Below are 26,833 nucleotides of genomic sequence, written 5' to 3'. Positions count from 1 at the left end.
CCACCACACCCAGCTAATTTTTGTATTTTTAGTAGAGACGGGGTTTCACCATATTGGCCAGGCTGGCCTCGGACTCCTGACCTCAAGTGATCTGCCCGCCTCAGCCTCCCAAAGTGCTGGGATTACAGGCATGAGCCACCGCGCCCGGCCCCACCCAGGAATTCTAATTAGTGGTGCCCTCCCTCAAGGAGCACTGGTGGCAGGGTGTGTAATACTTCCCATTTCTTTTCTAGGCAGCCAAGAAGCCAACAGGGCAGGAGAGAATAAAGACATTTTTAGCTGCCTGGTTTCCGGCTGCCAGGCCCAGCTGCCCTCCTGCGAAAGCATCTCTGAGAAGCAGAGCCTGGTGCTGGTGTGTCAGAAGTTGCTGCCTCGACTTCTCCAGGGGAGGTTCCCCTCCCCAGTGCAAGACGACATAGACTCCATCCTTGTTCAGTGTGGGGACAGCATCCGCCCAGACCCAGAAGTCCTTGGGGCCGCCAGCCAGCTGAAAGACATCTTGAGGCCCCTGAGAACGTGTGACTCCAGATTTGCCTATCGTTACCCAGATTGCAAATATAACGATAAGTTCTGAAGGGCTGGTGTCTAGCTGGCCTTGGGGACAACACGCTTGGCTCTCCATTCTCCCAGTCGGGTTGCTGCAAGGTAGAAAGAAGCAGCTCTTTTTTAAAGATGAGAAGAAAGGCACACTCATTTCTTAGGGACTGAGAGGGGAGTTGTGAGATACCACGTGGCTGTCTCTGCTGGCTGGGACGTCCTGGCAAAGCCCGCGGTGGGCATCAGAAGACCTGGGTGTGGACGCTCACTCAATGTCTTTGAGCCTCAGTTTCCTCTGTTCTCCACCAGACTCTCCTGAGGGTGAAAGAAGACACAGATGGAGCCACCACTGAGCATATATCCCAAGCATGGGTCTTGGGACACATGCTCACCACCTCCATCCCAGGTGGTTACAAAGTGTGTTCTGGAAAAGCACAGAGGCGGGGAGCATGAGAAAGAGCTGCTCAGGTCAGGAGGCTGGAGTGGAGGGAAGGCAGGGGAAGGACAGGCTCCCTGCCACTACCACTTTAGACTCGGACAAGAGGGGCCCCCTTCCTGCTCCCTATGGCCCTGCGTCACTCCCCACACCATCGCGGGATGAGGAGACTGCAGGCCAAGGGGACATGCCTGCCACCACCTAGAGCCTGGTACCTGAGGCTCCATACACCTGCGCATGGGGCTTCTCGTGGTGTGGGAAGAAGCCAGGGGTAAGAAGATAAAGGGGGGCCGGCGGGGGACCAATGTGTTAGCCCAAGTCTTCCAAGAATATGTGTCAAGATAGAGTGAATGGAACAAAGATTTGTTAGGGGAAATGATTGTGTGTAAGGAAAGAAGGAGGGAGCCGGAGAAGATTGGGAGGACCAGTAAGTCGAGCTGCAAGCTGAGCCCCGGTGAAGGAGAGAATGTCTGGCAGGAGCTTGCTAAGCTCAAAATCAAAGAAAGGTTCAGCAAGGCTGTCAGGGTGTCCTCAAGACAAAGGCAGCCATCAGAAGAGCCCCGTGTCTCCCACAAATAGACCCCGTTAGCATCCCTGCTGCACTCAGTGGTTGGCGGAAACAGCAAAGATAGATTTCAGAGCACAGCAGCAGGGGTCCCTGGTCAGCCCCGCTCCCTAGAGCAGGAGATCTTGAGTGGGAGAACATTCTTGTTGTAGCCACAGCTGAGGCCCTGGACCAGCTCTCTCCACACCGCATGCTCCGAGTTGGGACTCTAAGGAGTCTAGGAATTTTCATTCAAACTTGGCCTTACAGGTCACTCATCAGAAAAATACTTTTTTCAAGGTCAACCAATAGAACATACTTTATTCAACAGTTTGTTAGTTTGCTTTTTAAATATTTAGCCACATGGTATGTAGGCTTCCATGTACACTCTTGCCCTGGCCCCTGAAACATAAGCAGGGGGCTCTTCTGTACATTTGCCCAGCTTCCCTGCCAGCCTTTAACCCCAGGAACCTCTCAGTCTACCTCCTCTTTTCTGCCTCTGAATCCCTACCTTTAAAGTCAGAACAGGCCAGGCCCGGTGGCTCACGCCTGTAATCCCAGCACTTTGGGAGGCTGAGGTGGGTGGATCACTTGACATCAGTAGTTCAAGACCAGCCTGGCCAACATGGTGAAACCCCATCCTTACTAAAAATACAAAAATTAGCCAGGTGTGGTGGCGGGCACCTGTAATCCCAGCTACTCAGGAGGCTGAGGCAGGAGAATCACTTGAACCCAGGAGGCAGAGTTTGCAGTCAGCCAAGATCACGCCACTGTACTCCAGCCTGGATGACACAGCGAGACTCCGTCTCAAAATAAATAAATAAAAATAAAGTCAGAACACCTGGCTTAATAGGCCTCACTGTGCAGATGAGGAAACTGAGGCCCAGGGAGGAAGAGCGATCTGTGGAGATATTTCTAGAACCCCTGCAAGCTGAGCCCCAGTGAAGGAGAGAAGGTCCAGTAGGAGCTTGCTAAGCTCAAAATCGAAGAAAGGTTCAGCAAGACTGTCAGGGTGACCTCAAAGCAATGGCAGCCATCAGAGGAGCCCCATTGCTATTAGGAGGCTCCTATTGCCCTCCCCTTCAGCCTCTGACTTTCACCTGTGCTACCCAATTCTGGTTCCTTCACTCCCATTCAAAAATGGACCCCAGAAAAGCCTTATTTTGTGGAGTACCTAGTTCCCTTTTGGGTTTGTCTCTTGACTGCTACGGGCATTGCCCCAGGGCAACCATGACAGTGAAGATGACTGGCCAAGCTTGTGGACTGGCCAGCAAGCTTGGGCTGCCTGAGACGCTTTGAAATGGCTGCCTTCTGAGTTGGTCTTGAGGGTGAAGACTGACCACCCTTCTCACCTGCACAGTCACAGTCCCTCTCCTGCTGGCCTGACTGCAGCTGTCCTCCCAGCTGGCCACCTGACCAGAGACCAGGAGAGAGGCCACAGCCTCCAGACCCTCCAGAGTCCCACGGAGGAAGAAGGCTTACCAGAGAGACCCTCTGATGCATGAGCCAGGCCCCAGCCCTTCTCCCTGCATCCAGGTGTGTTTCCACCGCAAAATGCCTCCACACAATGAGCGACTTTGGCCCTGCGTGGGTCAGCATGTGGTCTGAGGTAACCCTCAAATGCCTCCACCACACATCTGTCCACCTGCACGGGTTCAAGGTAAGCACTTGCCCCCTTCTCTCCTCCAGACCAGTCGCCTGAAATTCTGAGCAACATTCCTTCAAGACTATCATGTAACCCTTGGTGATGCTGAGTCCAGACAGGAAATGCAGACTTGGGACCCACCTGTATCAGCAGAAAGAGGCCTTGTGCCCCGTTTGTCCGAGTCCCAGAACGGAGCAAATGAGAAAACCGGCGAGCTGTCCCCCGAGGAGCTGTAGGGAGATTGGTTTTTAGTATAAATTACAATAAAATTTTGTGTATGTGTACAGCTGTGTTCACATCCACAGTGTAAGCTGTGATATGGTTTGGATGTTTGTCCCCTCCAAATCTCATGTTGAAATGTGATCCCCAGCATTGGAGGTGGGGCCTGATGGGAGGTGATTGGGTGATGGGGGAAGTTGCCTCATGAATGACTTGGTGCCCTCCTGGAAGTGATGAGTGAGTTCTCGCTGAGCTCACTCAAGATGTGGTTGTTTAAAAGAGTGTGGCACGTCCCTCCCCCAACTCTCCCTCTCACTCCCGCTCTCACCATGTGACACACCTGCTCCCCCTTCGCCTTCCACCATGATTGGAAGCTTCCTGAAGCCCTTACCAGAAGCAGATGCCAGCCCCACACTTCCTGTACCACCTGCAGAACCATAAACCAAAATAAAGCTCTTTTCTTTATCAATTACCCAGCCTCAAGTATTTCTTTATAATAATACAAAATGGGCTAATACAAGCTGAGTGCTAAGGAGCAGGGCAGATGTCAGGCAGGCCCTACATATGCTTAGGAGTGGCCTAGAAATAGTTCCCCAGCTAGTGGCTTTTCCTAGGTTCAGGAGATCACAGAGTCCTTTTCTCATACACCTTCACGACAGAGCAGATGTTCTTGTCAACATGCCTGAAGACCACAGGCCCCACTCAGCTGCCTTCAGGGAACATTTTCCTGCCTCCCGCCAGCCACCTGCTAACCCTCCCCCACCCACCCTGTGGTGGACACAGAGCTGAGCCACCCAGCTCTCCCTTCAAGAAACAATGCTCTTCCCAGCATGGCATGGTTGGCACACAGCATTAAGCCATCAGGTCCTTCGGGTTCTGCCTCAGCCACCTTCACTCGAGGTCACACCCTTCCTAGGGCATATCTAGACCCAGTGACTAGGCATGCAGAGGTGTGAAGGCCCCGCAATTTTGGCCCATTGAGCAACAACTCTAATAGGCAATCCTCCTTCCAGAACTCCCCACCCAGCTGATCAAGACTCATGAGCCTGCCTCACAGTTTAATGTCCCTCTGCCCATCCTGCTTCCTCTGCATTCTTTTTTTCTTTCTTTCTTTCTTTTCTCTTTTTCTTTCTTCTTCTTTTTTTTTTTTTTTTTTGTGAGACAGGGTCTCACTCTGTTGCTAAGGCTGGAGTGCAGTGGCACGATCTCGGCTCATAGTAGCCTCTGCCTCCTAGGTTCAAGCGATTCTCATGCCTCAGCCTCCTGAGTAGCTGGGGTTACAGGTATGTGCCACCACTCCCGGCTAATTTTTGTTTTTGTGTTTTTTGTTTTAAGTAGAGATGGGGTTTCAACATGTTGGCCAGGCTGGTCTCAAACTCCTGGCCTCAAGTGTTCCCCATAGCAACCAGAGCAGATGCTGGGAAATTTCTTGCTGAGGATAATGATTGAGTTCTTTAGCCGTTTTCACTTGGAGTACTTCATACACCGTACTGGCCTTACATGGGATAGAACCACTTCCTCAGGAACTGTGCCTTCCCTTCAATAGCCAGGAGACAGGAGAATCAACACTCCAGTGACTTCAGGTAGAACGAAATTATGTGTTGTGTATTCTCAGTCCCCTGGAATTTGATTCGAGGCGTTAGGGTATTTTTCTGAATTATGTCAGCCATTGTCTTTAAGCCTGCAGGACAGGCTACGTAATTTGTGGCACCTGGTGCAAAATGAAAGCGTGAGGTCCCTTGTCCAACAATTATTAAGAATCGCAAGACAAGACAGCAGAACATTAAACCAAGCTCAAGCCGCCTGTGATTGCATTGGTTGCAGGTCCACAAAGCTGACCCTGGGTGCCTGTAAATACTAATTCTCCCTACTCTTGGCATAGAGTGTTCTCAGCATTTGCTGGGGTCTCATTTGACCTCCACATCCCAGGGGAGTAGGTGTGGGACTAGCAGCAATATATAAAATATTTAGGCCGGGCATGGTGGCTCACGCCTGTAATCCCAGCATTTTGGGAGGCTGAGGCAGGAGGATCACCTGAGGTCCGGAGTTCATGACCAGGCTGGCCAACATGGTGAAGCCCTGCCTCTACTAAAAATACAAAAATTAGCCAGGCGTGGTGGCACCTGCCTGTAATCCCAGCTACTCAGGAGGCTGAGACATGAGAATCGCTTGAACCCGGGAGGCAGAGGCTACGGTGAGATTGCGCCACTGCACTCCAGCCTGGGCGACAGAGTGAGACTTCATCTCAAAAAAAAAAAAATTAAAATTAAATAAAAATAACAACCACCATGGGGCAAAGGAACTGACCTTTGAAAACAGACTTCACCAGCTGCAGCCATCAGGAGAGCCAAACCACAGCCCTGCAGGCAAGATCTTTTCAAACAAGGAAAGTGATTTCAGTGATTTGCACGAAATGACAATTTTTAGGTCTCCTGCTTTCCCAGTCCTCCCCTGTAGCATCTGACTTCTGCCTATAAGTGATTCCATGAGCCTGAACATTTCTTCTGGAGTTAAAATAAATACTTTGTTAGATGTGTGGTCTTTTTTGGAAAGATCTAGAGCTCTGGAATCAGACAGACCTAGTATCAAATCATGACTTTGCTGGTTACTGTGTAATTTTGGGCAGGTTACTTAGTCTTTCTGAGCCTCCATTTACCCATCCATAAAACGTGGAGAAAAAGATTTATCCTTTCTGAGTCATTATCCTGTGTAAATAACATAATGTCCCTCAAGAGCCCGGCACACACGGGAGGTCGATATTTGAAGGCAAATGTAGGGAAAGAGCAGAGGGTCTCCCGCGGCAGAAAGGGTTCCTGGCCCAGCCAAGGCAAGCGCAGCAGCATCTTGGGAGGGACTCTTGTCCCCACCCCAAGCCTCTACTTCCGCTCAGAGGAGCCACCAGGAAGCCTCAGGCTGCTAGACAGTCTGACTGGGGCCATTTTTCTTCCCTCCCTCAGCTAAATTCTGGGTGGATCATGAATGGCAGCAGAGCAGCCACTAACCTTAGCTCCCCAGCCCAGCCCTCAGCCAGGCTCAGAAGGGGATCCTCTTTAAGCAGGTAATGTTGGGGGCCTGAAGAAGTCCATCCATGCTCAGTACGTGAAGAGAAACGAGGAATGCAGTTTGGCCTGTTGAAAACCACAGCCTCACTGCCAGTTCATGATGATGTGACTTTTCTGCCCACCTTGGGGCCTGTTGCTCACATATATTGGCACAGATGAGCTCACATGCTCACATGCACACAAGTATACTCTCTGCCCTGTCCACACTCTTTTTTTTTTTTTTTTTTTTTGAGACAGGGCTTTGTCCAGGCTGGAGTGCAGTGGTAGCACCACGCCTGGCTAATTTTTTAAAATTTTTTTGTAGAGGCAACAGGGTCTCACTCTATTGCCCAGACTGGTCTCAAATTCTTTGGCTGAAGCAATCTTCTTGCCTTGGCCTCCCTAAGTATTGGAATTACAGATGTGAGCCATAGCACCCGCCCATGTCTGCCTCTCTTTATGACATTGTTGAAAGACGGTCGTGGGCTGTGTGGAAGGGTCAACACACAGGAAGGGGCCATGGCATTTACAGATATAATGACCCTTCAAAAAGGCAACTTAGGTGCAGCAAACCACCACGGCACATGTATACCTATGTAACAAACCTGCACATTCTGCACATGTATCCCAGAACTTAAAGTATAATTTGAAAAAAAAAAAAAAGGCAGCTTAGGCCAGGCATGGTGGCTCACACCCATAATCCTAGCACTTTGGGAGGCCACGGCGGGGGAATCACTTGAGCCCAGAGTTCGAGACCAGCCTGGGTACTATAGTGAGACCCTATCTCTACCAAAAAAAAAAAAAAAAAAAATTAGCAAGGTGTGGTGGTGCATGTGCCTGAAATTCCAGCTCCTCGGGAGGCTGAAGTAGGAGGATCCCTTGAGCCTGGGAGGCTGACACTGCAATGAGCTGTGACTGCACCACTGCACTCTAGCCTGGAGCCTGGGTGACAGAACAAGACCTTGTCTCTAAAAATAAAAAATGAAAAAAAGGTAACAAAGTAATCGACCAGCAAAGGTAGGCTAGGCAGCCTGTGCAAGTGGCCCACCCATTACAGCTCTTTTAGAATCAAATAAGGAGACAGGAACACTCCTGTCCCAGTCAAGGGACCAGGGAATAGTGTCAGTCCTGGACAATGACTCTAGAGGGAGTGTGCCATTGCAGAGGGAGCATTGGCTCTGGAAGCAGACACGTGTGCCTTCAGATCCCGCACCAGTCCCTCTTCAAAAGTCAGTGCTTCAAAGTTGTTTATTGCCATGGTGTTCATTGCAATTGAGTAATGAATTAGCAAATATTTGCAATGAATAAGCAAAGTTATTCATTGTAACTGCAAAATATTGGGACCAACCTATATGGCTGTACATAGGAGAGTGGTTGAAAAAACTACAGTTCATCTACACAATGGAGGGCTGTGCAGCCGTACAAATGAATGAGGAAAAGCTCTATGACCTGATAGGGAATGAATTGCAGGATACAGTGCTAAGTGAGGGGGAGAAAAGCAAAACGCGAAAGCATATTTACAGGATGTTACCTCTCATATAAAAAAGAAGGGGATATAATAAATCATTTAGGCCAGGTACAGTGGCTCACACCTGTAATCCCAGCACTTTGGGAGGCCGAGGCAGGTGGATCACTTGAGGTTAGGAGTTCAAGACCAGGCTGCCCAATAAGACGAAACCCCATCTCTACTAAAAATGCAAAAAGTACCCGGGCATGGTGGCGCCAGCCTGTAATCCCAGCTACTCAGGAGGCTAAGGCAGGAGAATTGTTTGAACCCAGGAGGCAGAGGTTGCAGTGAGCCAAGATCATGCCACTGCACTCCAGCCTGGGTGACAGTGAGACCCCGTCTCAAAAAATAAATAAATAAATAAATAATTTATATATCTGCTCATTTGTAATGCTCTGGATTGGATGCTGTCAGGGAGTGTGGGTAATTCTATGCTTGAATATATCAATAAATCTTATCTATAGGACAGGGGAAATGAAGCATGGCTAAAGCTCTAATTAGTAAAGTCACAGCAGTCACTCCTATTCTCATACTAACCAGGATAAGGGGATGTTTCGGTAATTTCTGTTTGAACAATGTTCACATTGTTGTTTGTGTTCAGACAAGAGTACAGAGTGGCCTTGTTTTGTCTTGATCTATCTTGGTCACAGAACAGCTTTGTTTGATGGCGTTCTGAGAAATTGTTTATGTTCAAAGAGACCACAAAGGCCAAGCTACAAGGGCCAAGCCAGCTCTGAGTGACACCGAGGGTAAGGCCTAACTGATAATGCCAAGTCAGTTCCCAGCTGGCATGAGCTGCTTTTCTCTTTCTCAGTGGGACAACTGGTGAAATTTGAATAAAGTCTATAGATTAGTAAATAGCATTTTATCAGTGTTAATTTCTTAGTTTCAATCATTGTACTATGATTATGTAAGGTGTTAAGATGAAGGGAAGTTGGCCGGGAGCAGTGGCTCATGCCTGTAATCCCAACATTTTGAGAGGCCGAGGCAGGAGGATCCCCTGAGCCCAGAAATTCAAGACCAGCCTGGACAGCATAACAAAACCCCATCTCTATTTGAATCAAAAAAAAAAAAAAAAAAAAGAGAAGAAGTTGGGTGAAGGGTATAAAGGAACTCTGTATACTATTCTGGAACTTTTTTGTAAGTCTAAAATTATTCCAAAATAAAAATTAAAAAAAAATCAGTGTATGAAGTGGAAGAGGTTGACTTGTATATCTGGGCCATGCTGTATAAAAGCAAATGCATATCTCAAAACACTAAAGCATTACCTGTGTGACAAGATGGTCCCGACAACACATAGAAATTGAGTAGGATTAAACGGAAGATTCCAGGCTCCCATTTAGGTCTTATTCTAGGGTAATGCTCCTTGAGTAGATTCATCACTGCCTCATTTTCACTGTTATTGCTCTTTCTCTCCCTTTCTTTTATTTAATTTGCCCAAGTGAATATGCCCATGCTAGAACCAGGACTACCCCTACCACCCTGGAAAGCAACAGAGACCTGGGCCTTCCACATGCTCATTTCCAATTCCTTCCCTTCTACACACAGACCACAGTGCCTCTTGTAGACAGGACACCGAGAATGAGTTGAAACTCACCCCACACCCCACCTCGGCCCATTTAGCAGAATCCGACTTTCTGCCTCCTGCCCATACCTGGAGCTTCTCTCTTAAAAAGTCATCCTTTAAAGAGGCTTGTGCCAAGCTGAGTTCATATTCCTCTTGTCAAAATAACAAATATTTTAATATTTCATTTGTGTAAGGGATCCTATGCAAGGCAGGCAAAAATTCAGGAAAAGAGGCAAGTCATGGAAACTTGGTGAGAATATAATCCTATTGAAAAGCAATTTGGCAAAGTTCATCAAGAGCCTCAAAAAGGATGGCACACTCTACCCAGTAATTCCACTTCTGGGATGCTATCCAAAGGAAGTCATCAAGAATGCAGAGAGATTTATGCACAGACTGGCTGTTAAAAATCATGGATTGAACACTTGTAACCCCTACTAAAATGAAAGTAAGTGGAATTTTTAATAGGCATAAACTACAAGACAGGAGAAAATGAGAGAGGAGAAAAATAGAAACACAATTTTGAAAGCTGGAAAGCAAATAACTTAGCAGGACCAAAAAAACTAAATCCTAAACTGGCAGCAAAGAATGCTGAGAACCAACCTGATTTATACCACAAAATCCCTCAAAAGGTTAAGGAATTAATGGCACTAGATCCCTCAGGAAATGAGGGGGAAGAGGTAGCTGAAATATGGATGAAATTCAAAAGGCTGTTCTAAGCAGTTGGATCCGGTTCGGTCTCCCTACTCCTCCTAGCCAGGTAATGGTCCTCCAAGACCAACAAAAGATTGGAGTCTCCTTTCCTAGAGAGAGTCAATCAAAGGTCTTCAGGGATAATAAGGAGATATCGGGGTGGCAAGTCACACTGAAAACTAGGGGATCAAGGACTTGTGTGCACATTGGCTGTGGGCTCCCCATCTTCACCTGCACTGGCAGCCGGGCCTTCACCTCCAGGCAGGAGAACGGAAGAGAGAGCCCCCAGGGTAAAGAGCAAAAGACCTGTCATCAGAAGCCCCTCAACCACCCCTCCTACCCAGCCAGGTCCTCACGGGGAAGGTCACAGCTAGCAAACCCCACTGGCTGTCCAGAGCACCCAGTCATCTTTTTAATTTCCCACTCCTTTTATTTTCTGGGGTTTTCCCCCCCTCTAACATTATTTCGAAATAATTTCAGGCCTTTAGAAAAGTTGAAGGAAAAATACAAATCCATATTCCCAATTGTTTGCTTCTTTCTTGTGTTTGCTTTATCATTCCCTCCCCTCCTCCATCTCGCTCTCCCTCCATGTATGTTCCTCCTCATGCTCTCCCCCGACCACCCTGCCCAACTCCCACCCATTTTTTTCTGAGCCATTTTAGAGAAGTGACAGATGTGCGCCTAAATACTTCAGAGTATATATCCTAAAAACCAAATATAGTCTTACCTAACCAGTATGATTGTCAGAATCAGGAGATGAATATCGATACAATGCTATTATCTAACTACAGCCTGTTGAAAGATAAATTTTAGACAAATTAAATTTCATAGAGTTTAACTGAGCAAACAACAATTTGAGAATCAGGCAGCACCAGAACCAGAATAGGTTCAGAGCAGCTCCAGGGTTGCCATATGGTTGGATAACATTTATGGACAGAAAAAGGAAAGTGTGGTAGAGAAAACGGAAGTGAGATACAGAAACAACTGGATTGGTTACAGCTCAGTGTTTCCCTTATTTGCATAGGCTTAAACAGTTGGCCACCTGTGATTGGCTGAAACTCAGCTGCTGTGACTGGTTGAAACGCGGGCTACTTGTTACAAGAGTACTTTACAGTCTGTTTACACATCCAGTTAGGTTACAGTTCACTGTGTAGAGAGAAACCTTTAGGCAAAACCTAAATTGCTGGGTGTGGTGGCTCGTGCCTGTAATCCCAGTACTTTGGGAGGCCGAGGCAGGCAGATCACTTGAGGCCAGGAGTTCGAGACCAGCTTGGCCAGCAGGGCAAAACCCCATCTCTACTAAAAATACAAAAATTAGCCGGGTGTGGTGGCACATGCCTGTAGTCCCAGCTACTTGGGAGGCTGAGGCAGGAGGATGGCTTCATCCCTAGAGGTGGAAGTTGCAGTGAGCCGAGATTGTGCCACTGCACTCCAGCCTGGGCGACAGAGCGAACATAAACTATGTAAGGAGGCAGCTTTAGACTAAACTTAATTTAACAAGCCCTTATTTAAATTTTGGCAATTTCACCAATAATGTCCTTCATAGAAATTGTTTTTTCCTGGCCCAGGATCCAATCCAGGATCACATATTGCATTTAATTATTGTGTCTCTCTAGTCTCTCTCTCTTTAATCTAGAATAGTTTCTCAGTCCTAACAGAAGATATTTGAGGTCAGTTTGTCCCATTTTTGGTGATGTTCACTTGGTTAAGCTGAGGTCTGCTAGGTTTCTCCACTTAAAGTTAATACATAACTGAAGAGAAAATACTTTGAGACTCTGTAAATATCCTGTATTCATCAAACTTCTACCCATTCATTTTAACATCATTGATGATTCTTGCCTGAATCAATTATTACTATGATGTTGCAAAATGGTGTTTTTCTAATTCTATTACTCCTTCTACATTTATTAGTCGACATTCTTTTTTAAAAAAAAAAACTTTTCCTTTCCCCTACTTAGTTATTTATTAATACATTTATATAAGTATGGAGTAGCAGATTCTTATTTTACTTGATGGATTATAATATATTCTTACCATTTATTTCGATGCTCCAAATTTTCCCATGTTTGACCAGTGGGAAAACTCCCAGAAAGTAGAGCAAAAAGTCAGTCTAAAAGCAAGAGGAAAAAAAAAATTACAGAATTAGTCCAAATAGTAGGAGCTCCAAACACACTCGCACAGTGACAAACACAAACACAGTGACGCACACAGACACAGATGTGTACATGAACACAGACACCACAAAGTGACAGAGGCACACACACAAAGACACATAAACATCAAAGACATGCACAGACACACATAAACACAGAGATACAAACGTACAGACACACACACAGAAGGAAATAATCAACAAGAAAATTTGATTTCCCATAATTAAAGGCCATTAGTGTTTCCATTGGAAGGACTTTTGGAATGCCCATCACAATAGATATGGCAGGGACTGGAGGGGTGTCAAAAACACCAGAAGCCAGAAGACAATGACTTCAAAATTCTGAAGGAAAATTATTTTCAACCTTGAATTTACTTTTCCAAGCAAACTATCAATCAATTTTATATCTATGCTAACTATCAATTTCAGACATCTAAGTTCACAAATATTTTTGTTTTCAAGCCTCCTGTCTTAGGAAGGATTGCTAAGGATATTGGAAGATATGCTTTATCAAAAGAGTGCAGTAGGCCAGGTGCGGTGACTCATGCCTGTAATCCCAACACTTTGGGAGGCCGAGGCAGGCGGATCACTTGAGGTTGGGAGTTCGACACCAACCTGACCAACATGGAGAAAACCCCATCTCTACGAAAAATACAAAATTAGCTGGGCGTGGTGGTTCATGCCTGTAATCCCACCTACTCAGGAGGCTGAGGCAAGGCAATCACTTGAACTTGGGATGGGGAGGTTGCAGTGAGCCGAGATCACGCCATTAGACCCCAGCATAGGCAACAAGAGTGAAACTCTGTCTCAAAATAAAAAAAAATTTTTTTAAAAAGTGTGCAGTAGACCAAGATAAAGGAGACCTGAGTTGTAGGAAACAAGGGCTCCAACACAGGAGAGAGGGGAATGGGATCCTAGGAGACAGCTGTGTACCAGGCATGGGACCACCCCATCCACAGGGGAGCAGGTCAGAAGGCTTCAAGAGCCATTCCTTCAGAAAGATGAAACCGTTAAAAACCCAATATATCTGAAGGCTTTGTTTATTTGTTTCTTTGTTTGCTATAGAGACAGGGTCTAGTCTAGCTCTACCTCCCATGCTAAAGTACAGTGGTGTGATCATAGCTCACTGTAACCTCAAACTCTTAGGCTCAAAGGATCCTCCCGCCTCAGCCTCCTGAGTAGCTGGGACCACAGGTACACACCATCAGGCCCAACTAATTTTTTAATTTTTCGTAGAGATGCGGTCTTGCTCTGTTGCCCAGGCTGGCCCCAAGCAATCCTCCCACATCAGCCTTCCAAAGAGCTGTGATTATAGGCATGAACTATGCCTGACCTATGTCTGACTTTTTTGAGAGAAGATTTAGACAACTAGTGAAGAATTTGGATTTGAACTCATGATAAATACATAGAAAACCAAGTAAGGCACTAACAACACAATTAAGAACTTCTGAGAAACAAAAATATATGCAGGAAAGAAAAAGTGGGCCTTGTAGACCTCATGGCCCAGCTTTGGATGGTGTTGACATAACCGTAGTTATTTAAACACAAAATACTGATTTAACCAAATAATGATATATTGATATTGGGAGTATGGGAAGGATGTGCATGGGAAGAGGGGGCCAGGAAGAAGAAAAATAAAGCAAAACAAATCATCTTCCATGGGGAGATTCAATAGACAATGCCTACAATGGAAAAAAATTGAGAAGTTTCCGTTCAAACCCGTTATTTAGAAAAGTGGCAAGTAAGTATGCAACGTAATTAGCTAAAAGATGCCGTGTGGCAAGGCAAATGGTGAAGGAGAGATGAGAGATTGCTGGGTTTTGTAACAAACACTGCAGATCTGTATGTCTCTCCAGACTATATACTATCTATAACTTTGCTAAAAAAGTTTGTAAATGCAACACTAAAAATTTTTCAAATAAAATAAACAGGAGATCTATGCATTGAAACTATAATTACATCATTATTTTAGATAACAAAGAGTTGTATATAATTTACATACCCAAGAGTGGAGAAATGGCTAAGTAATTATAGTGGTATCCACACAATTACATATACAACTAAATTAAAATACTTCTTATACAGAAGTTATAATGCAATAAGAAAATGCTTATGACCAAATGCTAAATGAAACCCACAAGTCACAAAATGTTCTACAGATGTCAAGCTCTTTTTGTTTTTGTTTCTTGTGTTTGGCTTCTTTTTTTTCAATAAATATTTTTGCACAGAAATAAGACTGGAAGTAAAGATATCAAAATATTAACAGTGGTTGGATTTAGATCATGTGGCTTTTGATTCTTTAAAAATTATTTTTACTCTTCTGTCTTTAACAAGTATTCTTTTGGAGCATATTATGTGTGTGTGTGTGTGTGTGTGTGTGTGCATGTATATATATATAAAAATATATATATAAATATATATAAAAATATAAATATACATAAATATATATAAATATATATAAACATATATAAATATATATAAATATACATAAATATATAAACATATATAAATATATATAAATATACGTAAATATATAAATATATATAAATATATATAAATATATGTAAATATATAAATATATATATAAATATATATAAATATATGTAAATATATAAATATATATAAATATATACAAATATATAAATATATATAAATATATATAAATATATATATAAATATATAAATATATATAAATATATATAAATATATATAAATATATATAAATAAATATATATATAAATATATATAAATATATAAATAAATATATATAAATATATATTAATAAATATATATAAATATGTACATATATGTAAATATATATAAATATATATAAATATATATATAAATATATAAATATATATAAATATATATAAATATATAAATATATATAAATATATATATAAATATATATAAATATATATAAATATATACATATATATAAATATATATATAAATATATAAATATATATAAATATATACATATATATAAATAAATATATATATACATATATATAAATAAATATATTAATAAATATATAAATATATATATTAATAAATATATATATAAATATGTACATATATGTAAATATATATAAATATATATAAATATATAAATATATAAATATATATAAATATATATAAATATATAAATATATATAAATATATATAAATATATATAAATATATATAAATATATAAATAAATATATAAATATATAAATATATATAAAAATATATAAATATATATATAAATATATATAAATATATAAATATATATAAATATATATATCAATATATATATAAATATATATAAATATATATAAAAATATATATATAAATATATGTAAATATATATATAAATATATATAAAATATATATATAAATATATATAAATATATATAAAAATATATATATATAAATATATGTAAATATATATAAATATATATAAAAATATATATATAAATATATATATATATAGAGAGAGAGAGAGAAAGAGAACAGACAAGGTATTGCTTTGTTGACTGGTCTGGTCTCGTACTTCTGGACTCACATGATCCTCCCGCTGCAACCTCCCAAAGTTCTGGGATTACAGACATGAGCCACCGCACCCAGCCAAAAAATATTTTTTGTTTATTATATATTAATAATATTAATGTGTTTATTATATAAAAATGTCAACATGGTCTAAGAAAACAATGAAAATCATCCAGGTGTATTGCTTTTATTACGAAAAAAATAAAGACATTTTTGAAGCATGGGAATTTCTCCATGGTGAGAAAAAAGCAGCCATACCCGCGACAGTTTGGCCAATGAAGACTTGACCAAGGCCTTAGCCTTGACATTGAGACAGACTTCATCTAAGGCAGCAACATTACTATTTTTTCAAACTGAGATAAAACCTGATAGAATTGTTGTGCATGCCTTCATAATGGCCAAATATGAAAAAAAAAGTCTGAACCAGTTTTGACATTTATTTTCAAGTCCCAGGAACTAAAAAAAAACTCAACAACACAAAGTTTCAGAAAAATTTCAGAAACTGGGTAACTAACAATGAAAGCTGGAAAAAATGATTTTCACATTGATCATTCGTTTTGTTTTACTTGCTTCAGTCTTAAATCTGCAGCTTGCTTTTCCTGGATTTCCATTTGATAGTATGCTGCTTCTTAGAGTCATGACTTATGTATTATTAGTCCATTTTCACTCTGCTGATAAAGACATACCTGAGACTGGGTAATTTATAAAGAAAAAGAGGTTTAATGGACTTACAGTTCCACGTGGCTGGAGAGGCCTCACAATCACGGCTGAAGGCAAAAGGCATGTCTTACATGGTGGCAGACAAGAGAATGAGAGCCAAATGAAAGGGGAAACGCCTTATAAAATCATCAGATCTCATGAGATTTATTCACTACCATGAGAACAGTATGGGGGAAACTGCCCCCATGATTCAATTATCTCCCACCAGGTCCCTCCCACAACACTTGGAAATTATGGGAGCTACAATTCAAGATGAAATTTGAGTGGAGACACAGCCTAACCATATCAACTTGTATGGGGAACTAGAGTTTATATCACCTTCGCGTATTCATAGAAAGGGAGGAGGGGGCAAGACTGATATATATAAAGTAATTTTTGTTTAGGTTGCATATGGACAATTTTTGCTTACTGTTCTATTAAGAGTAATTGTCCACACAGATGTCCACAATAGAGCTTTTCATGGATAGATGCATGAAAAATACATGTTGAATGCATGAAATGGGAGAGAAGGAGGAAAAAACAGAGGGAGAGAGAAATCCGACTTGCCATCACACCATCAGGACCAACAGGAGGAATCAAACAGAAGCAGGGACAACTCTAGGCTGAATGAAAGGGAACAAATGATGTCTGCTCATTGAACATGTAGCTCACTGTAGACGGAGCAACCAAGCAACATAACAGTGTTAGTGGGAGCTAGGAATGTGGCAGGATAGAGGAAAGGGGAGGGGAGAAAAATCGAGAGCTGTGTTCACAATAATTTCTTCCTCATCTATGGTTTAGAAAATCAGAAGAGCCAAGTCCTCTGAGAATAGGACACTGCACCCAATACAGAACTCAGCTGTGGTTTTGGGAGATATTCTGGCCCTTCATTAAAGCAATCTCAGCCTCCGACTAATTTCTTTGTCTTTTTTTAAGTTGCCATTTTTCCTCCCTGTTTGGCAGCAAATCTGTGGGATTAATGCCCACTCTGTTGTGCTCTGGAAACTGTTTCAGCCAGCTCTGTGATGCTCCTGAAGCAGCTGCCAGAAAGTTAAGAGGCCGAAATGCGGTTGGCAAAAGCTCCTGTAATTTTTACAAAATTATCTGTCTTCCCAGAAAGACTGTCTGATAACCGTTTCTGGTGGCTGAGGAGCCTGTGGCCTGTTAGAGCCAATCCTGCCACAAGATCAAGTCAAGCCGACCTCCCACCAACCTTGGGTGAACTCTGCAACAGGCCCCAGCAGGAAGCGGCCAAGCAAGGCCTCTGAGCCCAGAACACTGGCTCCATTCACAGGAGCGCCACGCTACAGCTGCCTGTCTCCCCACTGCAGAGGATAAGCCTGCATGGCAGATCCTGCTAGCCTTGTTTTGTGCTTTGTTGGGTTTATTGATGGCTTAATTTCCCACTTCCTACTCCTGTTCTTTCTTTTCTTCTCCTTTTAATTGAGGTATAAATTAGACACCATAACAGGTGTACTTCTTCAGTATATAGTCTGATGAATTTTTCATACACACACACGTACATATACATATATATACACACACACATATATACACACATGCACACACACATAATTAAGATATAGAACATTTCCATTCCTCAAGAAATGTCTTCCATGCAACTTCCCAATCAATACTGTGTCCCCTCTCATCTCCAACAGAGGTAACAGTAATTCTGGATTCTCGTGCTACGGATTAGTTTTGCCTGTTCTTGAACTTCACATAAATGGAATCATACAGTATGTACTCGTTTGGATCTAGCTTCTTTCACTTAGCATGTTTTTGAGGTTTATCCTCAAAACAAAGTATCTGTACTTTGTTCCTTTTTCTTGCTGAGTAGAATTCTGTCGTATGGAGATATCAGATATTGCTTATCTATTCAGCCATTCCAGAACATTTGGGTTGTTCCCAGTTTAGACCTATTATTGATCAATCAACAGACAAATGGATAAAGAAAATGTGGTACATATATACACAACAGAGTACTATTCAGCCATCAAAAAGAATGAGATCCTGTCATCTGCAACAACATGGGAGGAACTGGAGGTCATTATGCTAGGTCAAATAAGCCAGGCACAGAAAGACAAACATCGCATGTTCTCACTTAGTTGTGGGATCTAAAAATTAAAACAATTGAACTCGTGGAGACAGAGAGTAGAAGGATGGTTACCAGAGGTGGAGAAGGGTAGTGGTTTGGGGAGGGGAAGTGAGGATGTTTAATGGGTACAAAATACAGTTAGAATGAGAAAGACCTACTATTGATAACACAGCAGGGTAGCTATAGTCAACAATAATTTACTGTACATTTTAAAATAACTAAAAGCAAACTTGGATTGTTTGTAACACAAAGAAAAGATAAATGCTTGAGGTGATGGGTACCCCATTTACCCTGATGTGATTATTATGCATTGTATGCCTGTATCAAAATATCTCATGAACTCCACAAATATATACATCTACCCACGAAAATTAAAAATAAAAAAATGTTTAAAGAATTTAAAAAATGAGCTGTTACAAATGTTCTTGTAAAGGTCTTTGTGTGACTTATGCACACCGCTGTTTTACTGACGAATCCATTTCTCCAGGGGGAAAACCATGGCAGTTAAGTCTGAGTCCATCAAGAGCAACAGAACACTGGGGGCATGGTCTCATGTCCAGAGGTCCAGCTCATAGATAAATTTAGAGTGTCAAAGAAGCTGTCCTGATTTGTCCCAATCAAGTAAGCTGTCCAGTTCTTCTAACAGTCGAAAGGCATCTGGGTCTTGTGGCGGTAAAACGCGATGGCAATGGGAGCTGTGATTGGGCTCAAATTTTTAATTTTTAATTAAAATTTTGTGCTTGGCTGAGTTTCTTCAGCCTGTAGCCTGACAAGTCTAGTGTCAATGACTTGGACACCATGGGTGGAGTTTCAACCAACCTAATATAGTTTGGATATTTGTCCCCTCCAAATCTCGAAATTTGATGACTAGTGTTAGGGGTAGGGCCTGGTGGGAGGTGTTTGGGTCATAGGGGTGGATCCCTCAGGAAAGCCTTGGTACCATCCTTGTGGTAATGAATGAATTCTCACTCTATTAGTTCTCATAAGAGCTGGTTGTTAAAAAGAGCCTGGCACCTCCTCCCTTCTTCTCTCACTTCTTCCTCCCTCTCTTTTGCCATGTGATTCTCGTTCCCCTTAACCTTCCACCATGAGTGGAAGCTTCCTGAGGCCCTCACCAGATACAGATGCTGGTGCCATGCTTCTTGTACAGCCTACGGAACTGTGAGCCAAATAGACCTCTTTCCTTTCTAAATTACCCAGCCTCAGGCATTCCTTTATAACAACACAAAGGGACTAAGACAGAACGTCTTCATGGATGACCCTGTCTTATCCATTTGTCTCTTAGCTGTCCTATGGCACTCAAGAAGGGATCATTAATGATGGGTATGGAATAAAAACTACCGATTACTCCCCATGCCATGGAGACCAAGGAGATTGATTTAGTCTCCTTTGCAGAATTTCTGATGCTAAAGAGGGTACCCTGCATTCACTATAATTCCTGGATATTCAGCCTGCCCCCTATTTCTAGTCCCTAACAGTAATTTCACCTAACCTCTCATAGCAGATTTGTTGAGTATTTACTGTGTGCCAGGAACCATTCTGACTTTTGTTTATTTGCTTGTTTGTTTTTTGCCTGTATTTACTCCCCACATAAGCCCTTGAAGGTAAATATTATATTTTTTTCATGGGTGAGGAAACTGAGGCTTAGAGAAGGTATATATCTTAGTCTGCTCAGGCTGCTATAACAAAATATCATAGACTGGCTGACTTACACAACAGAAATTTATTTTCTCATAGACCTGGAGACTGGAAGTCCAAGATCAGGATACCAACATGGTTGGGTTCTGGTGAGGGCCATCTCCCTGGGTTGCAGAGGGCTGCCTTCTCACTGTGTCCTTACATGGAAAAGACAGAGAGAAAGGAAGCAAGATCTCTGGTGTCTCTTCATATATGCGCACTAATCTCAATTATGAGGGCCCCACACTTGTGACTTCATCCAAACTTAATTGTCTCCCAAAGGCCCCATCTCCAAATATCATCACATTAGGGGATAGGGCCTCATCATATGAATTTTGGGGTGACACAATTTAGTCCATAGCAGTAAGTAACTTGCCTGTGGACACAGCTAGGCAGCAGTAGACCTGGAATTTGAGCTTAGGTCTGACTCTAGAGTCCATGTGCCTAACCACCATGCTATACTGCTTTAATGATATCAGGACCTTTGTTCATGCTCATGTCACACCATCAACTCCCAGGATGGGCTCCATCCTAGAACAGTCCAGAAAATCTTCATGTGCCAAGCCACAAGGTCAGATTGCAGGGGCCATGGCCACTAACCTGAATGTCCCACCAGATCCCATGCCAAAGCCCACTCCTACATTTGCTCTTTTCCCTGTTCAGGATTCCTTAGGCCTCATCATCCTTCAAAATTCAGCTGAAACCTACCTCCTTTTGGAGGCCTTTTCTATAGCCACTGCCTCTCAGTACTCTCTCTTTTTAAGCACTTCTTATATTTACTATTCATATTATACAATCAGCCCCATGTTTGCTATCTTGCTTGCTGTCTCTACAAAACATTTTGCTGTGTTATCTATGACTGTCGGTAACTTATTGTTTCATTGCCCCAAGGACTTGATCTCACAAATACATATGTAAATTATAGGAAAGGACACTTTATTTTGGTATGTTAGTAAGCAAAATAAGTGATATAGATACTAAGTGCAGAGATGGTCTTTCATTCATTCAACAAGCAAACATTTATTAAGCATTTATGATGTGCCACTAACCAGAACATATGCTTTGTGTAGGTTGGACTCAATTGTTATTTTAACAGAAATATATTGAATGCCTACTCAATGCTAAGCACCAATACTTCAAAAATAAATATGAGAGAAGAAAGGTCAAAGCCATTGGATAAAATAGAAAGGCCAGAGCACTGTGTTTATAAAGGGACAGAGGAGGATATAAGGCAAGAAATGTGGAAAGACCACAGCCTTCCTAGAAGTTGATGACAAACTAGTATGCTAAAATTCTATCCTTAAGGCCATGGGAAACATAGGTAAGGTTGGCAAGAGGGATAATACAATGAATTCTGAATTTTAGAAAGTGATGAATATTATATTATGTGTAGGTATTATGTATGATGGGTGTTTGAGTGAGGCAGAGAAATCTCCATCCCAAGTGAGAAAAAGATAAGATCTGAACTATGTTGATTTAATGAGAATATAGAAGTGGGGAGAAGTGCAAGAGAGTGCGCAGTTGAGGTCCTTGATTAGATGTAAGGGGAAATAATAAAAGATCACTGCTTATGTGAGATTTGTCTGCTTGAAAGAGGCTAACAACCTGATCCCTACCTCACACCTTACATAAACACTCTGGTGGGTTATAAAACTAAATGTGGGCAACACATTAAAGCTTTTTAGAATACAATAGAGAAAAGTATCTTCATGATGTGGGACCAGGAAGAGTTTACTCATGACACAAAAAGTAGTAACTATAAAGCAAAAGATTGATCCATTTGACTACATTAAAATTAAGAAATTTTATTCATCAAAAGACTCATTCATCAAGAGACACACCACACTGTAGTGAGCCATGATCACACTACTGCAATCCAGCCTGAGCATCAGAGTGAGACTGCATCTCAACAAAATTTTTTTAATTTAAAAATTTAAAAATAAAATAAAAATTAAGAAAAAGACAGACATGTCACAGAGAGAATATATTTGCCACACACTTATTGACCAAGTACTCATATCCAGAATATATAAAGAATTACCCTCACATTGATATGTAGGTAAAGATAACTCAATAGAAAAACAGGCAAAACACTAAAATATGCATTTCAAAAAAACAAGGAAATCTAAGTAGATGATAAACATATGAAAAACTGTTCAACCTCATTGTTAAAGAAGGAATACAAATTAATACCATGGTATACCACTAGACACGTATCATATTGGCAAATACTTAAAAGACTGATAATGCCCAATGTTGGAGATGTTGTGTAGCAAAGGTAACTCTTGTACACTGCTGATGGGTGTGCAAACTGGCACCATCTCTCTGGAGAATGGTTTAGGATATTAGGCAAAGTTGAAGACACACACACCCTAAGACCCAGTAGTTCTACTCTTGGGTATCCACTACAGAAACTCATACATACATTTACCCCAATACTATGTACATGCTCCTCATGGTTTTCATCTTTGTCTTTTTGCTCTTTTAAATACTTTAAAGCTTATGCTTTAAAGTATTTCTTTCATATGAGTTTGCAGGCCACCAAGTTGTGTCCTAGTAATGACCACATTTTTCTTCTAACCAGCTACTGCATTGGATAGTTGGAAGGTTATGCTGACTCAGAAAATACTTTGTACCCTAGTACATATTTCTAAGTGTTCATATCTTTTTACTCAAGTGCTTATCTTGAACAAGCTTTATTGGACATGTGTTATACTTGTTTCGATTGACCTTCTTTCTCTAGCTTCTGGGACCCATTAGATGAGTCAGTTCTACTTGGGACTACTGAGGTCCAGTTATTAAAGAACGGGGGAAGTGGGCCCCAAAGTGGTGGAAGACATGGTGGCCTCACCCGTCATGAGCTCACCATAGCAGCAGGCAGGATACCAGTACCCCACTAAGGCCTCAGGAGAAAATGTCCTGCCGTCAGCTCTCCTCACAGTTCCTTATACCCAGAGGTATAAGGTATATACAGAGAGGACACAGTCCACCCTTTCAGCTCCCTTTTGCCTCTTGGAAGCCCAGACAATCAAACCCACCTGAAGGGATCTAATGTCATTCACCTCTCTCTCACTTAAGATTCATGTCTTGGTAGCCTGAGCTTTTTTCAGTATCTATCTCATTCTAATTCTCTCCCTGGGGTTCTGCAACTCTGGTTTCCAAGGTTTGTCCAGTCTATCCATGAGAAAGCTCCACCCAAGTTCTCCCTGCTAGGATTCCCATGAAAGTCAAAGCCTCATTTGCCCCCAACTATCAGTCCCAGAAGTGGATCAGATTTTAATTGCTACTCATATCCAGTTTGTCATCTTTACAGAATTCTAACTAATACATTTTTTTTCCTTCTTCTTCTGATATGGAGTTTCATTCTTGTTGCCCAGGCTGGAGTGCAATGGTGCAATCTCTGCTCACGGCAACTTCTGCCTCCCAGGTTCAAGCAATTCTCCTACCTCAGCCTCCCGAGCAGCTGGGATTTCAGGCACGTGCCACCACGCCCAGCTAATTTTTGTATTTTTAGTAGAGACAGGGCTTTGCCATGTTGGCCAGGCAGGTCTCAAACTCCTGACCTCGGGTGATCCACCCGCCTCGGCCTCCCAAAGTGCTGAAATTTCAGACGTGAGCCACCACGCCTGGTTAATGCATTTTTCAAAAGGAGCAAGATCCTTATACCAAAGTCTGCCAATAATAGCAAAAAAAGAAAGAAACCTATAAACCAATCTCACTAATAGCTTAGAGATGCAAAAATACCAAATGAAATGTTTTCGGTTGAATTTAGTGTCATATAAGAAAAAATGCTTCACGTACTTCATTAATTGCCAATTGCAAGGTCTCTATTCATAGGCATAGGTCTCCTCACTGGTCTCCCACAGGGCTGCTTCAAGATTAGGTCATGAGGTCATGTTCTTAATATTGAGAGATTTCTTCCCCACCAGACTATATGAATAGCCTTTTCATCTTTATGGTTTCCCAGAAGGAAGACGTACAATCCCAACCATTTGCCACTTAAACAAGTGAAATACAGTATATAACAAAGATAAGCATCCAGCTGAAGATTTGAGAGACTACCCAGGTCTCCTAGATTCACTGTCTCTTCTGCTTCTTCAGGGAATCATTGCAGGTTTCTCATTCAGCCTCTAGAAAGCAGCCAGAAAGAAGAAATTACATTCTTCTATTGTGTTGTTTCCCAGCTGTCTCTGATCTCAGCAGTTTCAGTAGGTCAGGGTTATGGTTTCTACATACTTGTAAACCAGTCTTTCAAAATGGCCCTTGGGGCCAAGCCTGGTGGCTCATGCCTGTAATCCCAGTACTTTGGGAGGCCGAGGCAGGCAGATCACCTGAGGTCAGGAGTTCAAGTTCAGCCTGGCCAATGTGGTGAAACCCTATCTCAACTAAAAATACAAAAAAAATTAGCCAGGCGTGGTGTCACATGCCTGTAATCCCAGCTACTCGGGAGGCTGAGGCAGGAGAATCGCTTGAACCCAGGAGGCAGAGGTTGCAGTGAGTCAAGATCGCACCACTGCATTCCAGCCTGGCAACAAGAGTGAAACTCCATCTTGAAAAAAAAAAATAGCCCTTGGGGTGGGACAAAGGGAAATTTTTAGGGTGATTGAACTGTCCTATATGGTACTAGGATGGTGGATACATGACTCTACCCATACAGAGTACACTTTGTGTACATTTTAAAAAATCAATAAAGGTGTCAGGAGATCCCAGAATGGAATGCAGACTGTGACAAATGAATCTAACTGTATTACAAATGTATGACATAACTTCATTCAAGAGGGTGAGGAAAAAAGGAGCTGACCAAAGTAATTTGGAAAAACAGTGCTTTAATTAGCTATTCCAAGATGAAAGACAAAAAGAATCATGAATTAATACTATAATTTGTGAAGTTTTTCTTTCTCACGGAGCTACAGGATAGCAATTCTGAAATTATTTTACATGTATTCTAGGATTGAACAAATAAGTAAATAAATTGTAGATTATAAGAGTCATGGTACCAGAGTAAGTAGTTACAAATAAACAAAGTGGTGAGGCAGAAGGCTAGAATAAATTCTACAGTTCTGGATTCAAGTTAGAAATATTAGTATGAACTTATATTTATTTTATTCGTTTTTTAATAATGACATTTGTTTTTGTTATAAATAAAACAATTATAGAAGATTGGGAAGATAAGGCATGATTTTAATTTTTTACATCAATATCCTCATACATTTTTAATGTCAGTGAACTAATGTTTAGTTTAATATATATGCATATAGGAACATAATTATGGATATGTATATACATGTGGTAGTACACATACATATATTTCCTAGTTCTGTTCATTTAGAATGTGTAGAAGCAGTGTCATCACAGTAGCAATGAGCACACCCATCACCAAGATCTTGGTTTCTAAGGCCATTCATCAAAAAAAAAAAAAAAAAAAAAAGAACCAGGGCTCCTAGGAGAAATGACTAAGTCTAGGGCCAATGCAGAGAAGAAAACACAAGATGAGCCTGGAGCATCCTGTGGTGCCAGAAAGAGGAAGTGCTCCAAACAAAGTGGATGAGGGCATGCCAAAAGTACACAAGAGCCAATGTGAAAGAGCTCCCAATGGCCAAAGCTTGAACAGTTTGAGCAACAACAATAGATAACAAAATAAATAGCTAAGCACCATATATGAGGTTTAGTTTTGCTGGATACAAAATTCTTGGCTGATAATTGTTTTGTTTACGGAGGCTGAAGATAGGGCTCCAATCCCTTCTGGCATGTAGGGTTTCTGCTGAGAAATCTGCTGTTAATATGATAGGTTTTCCTTTATAGGTTACGTGGTGCTTCTGTCTCACAGCTCTTAAGATTCTTTCCTTCATCTTAACTTTGGATAACCTGACGACGATGTGCCTAGGTGATGATCTTTTTGCGATGAATTTCCCAGGTGTTCTTTCAAAAAACTTGAAGTAATATCAAGCATCTTCTCTTATCACAGTGAAGTAAAACTAGAAAACAATAATGAGTAGAAATTTGGAAATTATACAAACACATAGAAATTAAACAATATGCTACTGAATGACCAGTGAGTCAACGAAGAAATTAAAAAGGAAATTGCAAAATTTTTTGAGACAAATAATAATACAAACACAACATACTAAAGTCTAAGGGATACAGCAAAAGCAATATTAGTAGAGCTATAAGTGCCTACATCAAAAAGAAAAAAAACTTCAAATAAGCAACCTAATACTGAATCTTAAAAAACTAGAAAGGCAAGAGCAAAGCAAACCCAAAATGAGTAGAAGGTAAGAAATAATAAAGATCAGAGCAGAAATAAATTAAAATGAACAAGACAATACAAAAGATCAATGAAACAAAAAGTTGTTTTTTTGAAAAAAATAAAAGTGACAAAATTTAGCCAGGCTAACTAAGACAACAAAAAGAGATGACCCAAATAAATAAAATTAAAGATGGAAAAGGAGACATTACAACTGATACCATAGAAATTTAAAGGATCATTAG

At 41.4% G+C, this 26,833-nt stretch overlaps 1 protein-coding gene across 3 annotated transcripts in view; it reads left to right on the top strand.

The window, feature by feature from the left end:
- DIPK2B (divergent protein kinase domain 2B) overlaps positions 1 to 3,853 on the top strand; it is a 52,504-nt gene extending 48,651 nt beyond the window's left edge. For all 3 annotated transcript variants that reach the window (XM_006724559.1, XM_005272670.1, NM_176819.4), the window contains one exon: positions 234 to 3,853. In XM_006724559.1, coding sequence (XP_006724622.1) covers positions 234 to 574 — 341 coding nt within the window. In that variant the 3' untranslated portion in view covers positions 575 to 3,853. The remainder of the gene's footprint in view (positions 1 to 233) is intronic.

The sequence above is a fragment of the Homo sapiens genome, chromosome X, assembly GCF_000001405.40.
Source record: "Homo sapiens chromosome X, GRCh38.p14 Primary Assembly".
NCBI classification, from domain to species: Eukaryota; Metazoa; Chordata; class Mammalia; order Primates; family Hominidae; genus Homo; species Homo sapiens.
This window is presented reverse-complemented; position numbering and strand designations above follow the sequence as displayed.